Source organism: Homo sapiens, chromosome 5 (genome assembly GCF_000001405.40).
Source record: "Homo sapiens chromosome 5, GRCh38.p14 Primary Assembly".
NCBI lineage: Eukaryota > Metazoa > Chordata > Mammalia > Primates > Hominidae > Homo > Homo sapiens.
In genome coordinates this window covers 124,808,334-124,816,068 of record NC_000005.10, presented here as the reverse complement: position 1 = coordinate 124,816,068, position 7,735 = coordinate 124,808,334, and the positions used below count along the sequence as shown (strand labels likewise).

Below are 7,735 nucleotides of genomic sequence, written 5' to 3'. Positions count from 1 at the left end.
GACCACTTGTGGCACAGCAGTTACTATCTTTTTTATTTGTATTTCACATAGGATATTTTTAAACCTGCACATAAATTGTCTGACAAATCTCTATGTCTACCATATCTGGGGAATTGTTCCTCCTATGAGCCCAAAGCCATAGCTTGGCCTTAACTGACTAAAAACATTTTAGGTGCAAATTGCTGCTCCCTCCCTCTGTATATCAACGTTGCATTTTCTTCTACAGGGGTTTCCTATCCTTATAACACCTGGAGAAATAGATGTTCCTCAGCAGCCCTGACTTCAGAGGAAAAGCTTATCTGTTTGCAAGGTGGAAATGCTAGGCAACTCTCCAGAGGAAGAGCTCAGAGGCTGTCTCATCCATGGAATTCATGCAGTATAAGTGACTTAGTCTGAGAAAATATTTATCTGAGCCATTGGCACCAAACCTCCCATTGCTCCTTTAAAGTACCTCAGCCTTAGTTTGGGCCTGTGGCCTGGAGGTACATCCAAGATGGACCAAAAGATCCAGATTAGTTCCAGGCAGTGACAAGAGAGGCTGGAAGAAGGGAGGCCAACCGTTTCCTAAGGCTGTTTCCCCACAAAGCATTGATAAGAAGAAAGCCAAATTTTCTTTCTTTTTTTTTTTTTTTTGAGACGGAGTCTCGCTCTGTCGCCCAGGCTGGAGTGCAGTGGCTTGATCTCGGCGTACTGCAAGCTCCGCCTCCTGGATTCACGCCATTCTCCTGCCTCAGCCTCCCGAGAAGCTGGGACTACAGGCACCCGCCACGACGCCTGGCTAATTTTTTGTATTTTTAGTAGAGACAGGGTTTCACCGTGTTAGCCAGGATGGTCTCAATCTCCTGACCTCGTGAGCCGCCCGCCTCGGCCTCCCAAAGTGCTGGGATTACAGGTGTGAGCCACTGCGCCCGGCCAAGAAAGCCAAATTTTCTGTTTTCCAATTTTTTTTCTGTTCCCGTCCATCTCCCTAGGCTTTAAATTTCCAAATATATCAAATATGATTTTTTTTTGGATGGAGTCTCCCTCTTCACCCAGGCTGGAGTGCAGTGATGCGATCTCGGCTCACTGCAACCTCAGCCTCCCAGGTTCAAGTGATTCTCCTGCCTGAGCCTCCCAAGAAGCTGGGATTACAGGTGCGCACCACCATGCCAGTCTAAATTTTGTATTTTTAGTAGAGACAGGGTTTCATCATGTTGACCAGGCTAGTTTCAAACTCCTGGCTTGCAGTGATCCACCTCAGCCTCCCAAAGTGCTGGGATTACAGGCGTGAGCCACTGCGCCTGGCCTCAAATATGATCATTCTTAAAAGCAAACCAAGTTCTATAGAATATATATATTTTTTAGGTGAAACTTGATATTTCGTGTTCTACGCTGCTTTACAAATTGAAAAATATCTTTTCTTTAGTTCAAAGAAAGGGAGAGAACTAACAGTTGAATTCCTATTGTGATTTATTGTAGATACATGTTGGATTTTATGTCATCTTATTTAATCCTTGTAACTATTCTGCAAAATAGTTACACTGTATAACTTAATCCCCAGAGAGTGTCTACTGTGTACTTTCTCTGTTCTAGGGACTTTTACAGGGGTTAGAGACTTTGTGATCCCACCAGGAACTCATTCTGGTGGGGAAGATAGCATATGAATGACTAATTACAATAGAAACAGTAAAGTCCCATAATACATAGATGAACAGAAGGGTATTCGAGCATACATTTTAAATTTAAATTTCTTTAATGTGTGCACCAATCAAAATGGTAGGCTTACCCCAAAAAACAAATTCTGAGGCTGTTGCAAAAGACTCCAATATTTTGACACAAAAAGCTTTCTAGAAACAGATGGGTAACTAACTAGTAACATAGGTACCTCTTTATCTTTTTTTCTGTAAGGGAACTCTGGAAAGGTTTCTAACTACTCTTTTCCTCTAACAAAGTTACTTACTTCTAACAAAGTTTTTTTTTATTATTTTTATGTTTTGAGACAGGGTCTCACTGTGTGTCACTGAGTGCACTGGAGTGCAGTGGCATGATCGTAGCTCACTGCAGCCTTGAACTCTTGGGCTCACAAGATCCTCCTGCCTCGGCCTCACGAGTAGCTAGCACTACAGGCATGTGCCACCATACACGGCTAATTTTTTTATTATTATTATTTGTAGAGGTGAGGTCTCATCATGTTGCTCAGGCTCATCTCAAACTCCTGGCCTTAAGTAATCCTCCCACATCAGCCTCCCAAACTGTTAGGATTACAGTTGTGAGCCACTGCACCTGGCCTAATTTCTAATGATAGTATTTGCCAGTAAAATAACTTAAAACGGGCTGAGTGCAATAGCTCATGTCTGTAATCCTGGCACTTTGGGAGGCCAAGGCAGGTGGATCACTTGAGGTCAGCAGTTCAAGACCAGCCTGGCCAACATGGTGAAATCCCGTCTCTACTAAAAATAGAAAAAATTAGCTGGGCATGGTGGCACACACCTGCAATCCCAGTTACTCGGGAGGCTGAGGCAGGAGAATAGCTTGCACACAGGAGGCAGAGGTTGCAGTGAGCTGAGATCACGCCACTGCACTCCAACCTAGGCAACAGAACGAGACTTTCTCTCAAAAAAAAAAAAAAAATTAAAATATTTTAAAGAGACTTTACCTATTCATTCATACCCTTACACAATTCTAAAAATATTTTCATGTGGCTTACACAAATATATACAATAGCACAGAATAAATGAAAATAGTAGCAAAATGACTATATCTGTGTATCTTTCTGTATCAATTTCCTCTCAATATCAATTTCCTATTCCCCACAAATAGCTATTTCCTCTCTCCTGGTTTCAATTCTTTGTGGCTATCTGGAAAGCTCTGGTTTCCTCTGGAACTGATCAGTGCCTTGCTCTAGCCCCAGACCGCCCTGGCTTGTCTCCATGTGGGGTCTGCGTCGCCTCCTCCACAAGCACAATTCAGTCTCCAAATGACTTAGGCAAGAACTTTTGTCTTAAACAAATCTGTTTATCAGAGAGCCATTGGATCATATGTTATAGAAGCCTCAACAAACAGGATATTCCGTCTCAAATTGGTGGCCTCTTGGCAAACACAAGAATGCCTCCCAGGGAAGCATATGATTCTCAGGAACACCATGACACGTCATCAGCCTCAGTCACTGAAGGAAACAGGTTAGGCATCTGCTCACTGGCACTTCCTGGTTGAAGTACAACAATTAGTGTCTTTTTTGAATATGTGCAGCTTTGGGATTATTAATTTCAGCATGAGAAATCATTAGTATTCTTAATTTAAAGAGGAAACCTTTGGACAGGAGTCTGCGGCTATCAATCAATACTAAAGATTTTCTCTGAATTATGATGTTTTTACCTGACTCTGAAAATGGATTTTTTTTCCCTTTTCATTTTTGAGCTTTTGAATTTGACTTAGCATACGGACTCTGTCAGGTTCCTGTGGTGAATTGATAATGAAATTAGGAGAGACAGGGTCCATTGACTTAGAAGACCTGTGCCATTAGTTAAGTCTTCCCTCTGTTTCTGCAGCTGGCTTGACACCCACTTAGTCACCTAGGTTTTGGCACTTGCCTCTGACACTAACACTTGAGAGAGCAGAGCTCAGAATGGAGATGAGGAGGTAGCACAGTAAATAGGCATTATCAAAAAAAGACAGAGGTGAAAATCAATACCTCCATTAACATCTAGAAGCAGACTTTTCAAAGAACATTTATATGTTTAGCTGACAGTAATGTACCAAGAAGACTAGTTCCTTTATAGGTCACAAAGTATGTAACTATCCCTATGGTGTTATTTATTTTTCTTCCCATTTGGCTAAGAAGTATCATCAATAGGATTTAAAACTAAAAATAAACAAAAAACTCTGCCCAGCAAAAATATTCAAATAAAGGGTACAATTTTCAACAAAGTAGATACAACAAAATTCTAGTAATATACATCAAAATTATTAATAATGTAAGGTAAAATAGCTATTCTCTTGAAATTTGTCATAAGGCTTTGACGTACACGTATATCTTTTTTATAAGGTTATTATTTTTGTGACGCACATGACTTGAGATACCTGTATTGCAATGAACTGTATGTTTCTGGTTTTGTTTTTTTGGCATTGTGTTACTGTTGTTATCCTAACTGTCATCTTCAAATATAGGTTTAATTCCTGGTTTTCACATTCCTTAGCTCTGTGACTGTCAGAAGTCAACTTATATCATGCTCGGTTTCCCTATGTGTTACAGTAGTATTAGGAGAAATAAGTGATAGGTGTGTGTAAATGCCTAGCACAGTGCCTGGCACAAAATAAAGTCTCAGTAGATGGTAGTCCCCCACCTCCCCACCCCACCCCTCATTGCTTTCTCTTCCTCCCATGTTGGTCCCCTTGCCTCCTCTGCTTTGCCATCTCCTTCTCTATACCATCAAAGGAACACCTCTGGGCAAAGGAGACCACATTCATTTATGTCGGATAACACATTGACCTGGCGGCCTTCATTCCAGTGTAAAGAGGCTGGGTACCTCCCCTGTAGCTGTCATCCTTGCTCCTTGGTATTCTTTGCTAGTGCCTGTGCACAGGAGCCAAAGCTTGGTGTGACCAACTATCATCACTAAGCAGTGTAGGATTTGGGACCCGTCTCACCTCCAGGAACAGAAGTTGGAGCAAATAAATAGATGTAGTCTGTCAACTTGAACTTTGCAGGACACTCTGAACTTGAGTCCGATCTTCAAGAAAGAACAGGTTTAGAACAAAGAAATGCTGAGAACCTTGGGAGAAAGTAAGAGAGCCTTAAAATCCATCTGAGCAAAAGATAGACAGGCTGAGCAGTATCTGACACACATCCTAGACTATGGAAAGGCACATTTCAAAAAGTTAAAAGAAAATATATGTTTGGTCCCATGGCCAGAGGGTTTTCTAGAAGAGTATAAATAGGTCCAGAAGGACTAGAAAATTAAATTCTAACTATATAATAAAAATTAGCCAGATATGGAAGAAAAACTAAAGAAATCAATATGGTTGCTTGGGAACTCTCCTTGGAGCTCAGATATCAAAAGGCATGTTTCAAAGATCAAAGAACTTGTAGCCCAGAACAAAAGCAATGCAATAGCACAAACCTAGAAGAATAGTGTCATATAGAATAAAGTGAAAAATAAGCACAATTTTGCTGAATAAAAGGTTAAAAAATGACTTTTACTAATGTGTACAGAGTAAGAACAACAAGGAACTGTTAGCCACATTTCTAAGAGATTATGATGTAATGGTAATGAGACAAAGAGAAAATAGAATGTCTTAACTCCATTTTGCTTCTGTCTTTTCCACTAGAAGAATGACCTTCAGACTGAAAATGCAGATGTGGCTGACAACTGCAGACAAAAAGTGTTCTCTATCAGGCAGGGAGCCCCAGGGTGATTTTCCATAGGCGAGTGCCAGCAGTGTGAAGAAAACTGGAAGCCGGAAGCTGGGCAACTACTGTGATGGCCCACACAAGAAATAAGGACACAGTGAGGCAGTCCAGAGGAACAGAGCAAAGGAGGCACAGGGGAGAGGCGCTGAGAGGGCAGAAATGACAGAATAACCCACTGCAAAGGCTCTAGAAAAGCACTGGATGTGCTGCTTAAGGTGAACTTACAGAAGGAAAGGATTCCACACATCTTTTGTGGAAGCAGAAAGCAAAGAGGATGGGAAAGGGGAGAGCAACCACATGAGTCTATTCATGCAGACAGAAAGTGGAGCTGTGTTGGAGACATAGTGAGAATCCGGGTTCATCAGAGTCACAGGTTATTTTCAGGGAAATAGCTGGCTATAAAGGGGCCTTGGAGGAAGGTATAAACACTATGTCTGAAGGGTTTACTACCTGTCAGAAAGTCTCCAATGAGTGCTCCACACCTGGTGAGGATCCAGAGATGAATTAAAAACAAAACAAAACAAAAAAACCACACACCTGTAGAGCTATTCATTTGCCTCCTCATTCTAGGGATACCATGTAATCTGAATATAGAGCTGAAATCTGAAGGAATCAAGAGTTTTGTGAATTTTGTTTTGTTTTGTTTTGTGTGGGATTGATTAGTTAACAGTGAAACTGTTGAAAACTGTGGATAGAGCCACCCCTCCCGTCCCTGTGAAAGGCAGGGAATCTGGATTAATTCTTCAATTTCAGGGTGTTAATGCCAGTAAAGAAAGCCTTGTGGTACTACCAGAGCTGATGCTGAGGCTTCCTAAGGCCGACTGGGGGGTCAGGAGAAGGAAGTGACATATGGGCTGAGAACTTCAGACGAGTAGCGCTTAGCCTGAAGAAATACTCTGCATGTTTGGAGTGTGAAAATTGTATTCAGACCCGGGTGCCTCACTTTAAAGAAAAATGTTGCCAAACTGAACTCTGCCAGATGAGGAATCAAAGATGGCTAGCTAGGAGTTAACTGACATAGCAGGAAATCTGGTTATCAATTCTGTGTAGCCTTAGAGGAAGAATGTCATCCAATTCTGAGGCAATGTAGCATCAAGGTCAAGCTCAGAAGCTCTAGACCCAAATATGAGGGTTAAAATTCCGGCCCTACTGTGAATTACATTACCTTTTATGTATAATAACATTAATAATAATAATTGCATAGAATTGTTGGGAGGATGAAATGAATTAATACACATCAAGCGCCTAAAACAGTGCCCGGAACATAGCAGTCACACAATGCATGTTGGTTATTATTAATATTATTATCCAGTGAATAATAGTTATAATAAAACAGATAGATATATATTGTTATATTAAAGAATGTTTCGGAATTCAAATCGTTGAACAAAGTAATCTGTGTTACCTTTTAAATTGCCCCTGAGGCCGCTGCGAGAGAAGCCGCCGCCATGTCTGCGCATCTGCAATGGATGGTCGTGAGGAACTGCTCCAGTTTCCTGATCAAGAGGAAGAAGTAGACAGACAGCACAGAGCCCAATAACTTGAAGGCCCGCAACTCCTTCGCTAAAAAGGGCTGATTCACCGCAAGACTGTGGGCGTGGAGCCTGCAGCCGACAGCAGAGGTGTGGTGGTCATGAAGCGGAGATCCAGCCAGCGGAAGCCTGCCACCTCCTATGTGCGGACCACCATCAACAAGAATGCTCGCGCCACGCTCAGCAGCATCAGACACACGATACTGAAGAACAAGTATGCCCTGACCTGCGCATGGCTGCCATCCGCAGGGCCAGCGCCCTGCACAGCCGGAAGCCTGTAATGGTGAAGAGGAAGCGGACCCGCCCCACCAAGAACTCCTGAGTCCCTGCCCCCAAAGCAATAAAAAGTCAGCTGGCTTTCTCAAAAAAAATTATAATAATAAAATAAAAAATTAAAAAAGTTAAAATGTTTAACCAGAGATTTGAGGGTCATCTGGAAGAAGCAAGGAGGAGCTGCTGCCTGCTTTCAGTAGACAGATGAACTGGCTGAGTCTAGTTTTTCTGACTTTCGGAGTATATACATACATGTGTATATATATGTATGTGTGTATATATATGTGTGTGTGTGTGTGTGTGTGTGTGTGTGTGTGTGTGTGTGTGTGTATAGTGACAGGGTCTCGCTCTGTTGCCCAGTTTTCAGTTCATGATCATAGCTCACTGTAACTTCGACCTCCTGAACTCAAGTAATCCTCCTACCTCAGCCTACTGAGTCGCTAGGACTACAGGTGTGGCCACTACGCCCAGCTAATTTTTTATTTTTTATTTTTATTTTTTGTAGAGGCATGATCTTTCTATGTTGCCCAGGTTGGTCTCA

At 42.0% G+C, this 7,735-nt stretch overlaps 1 pseudogene; it reads left to right on the top strand.

The window, feature by feature from the left end:
* Positions 6,814 to 7,161, top strand: RPL28P3 (ribosomal protein L28 pseudogene 3; annotated as a pseudogene).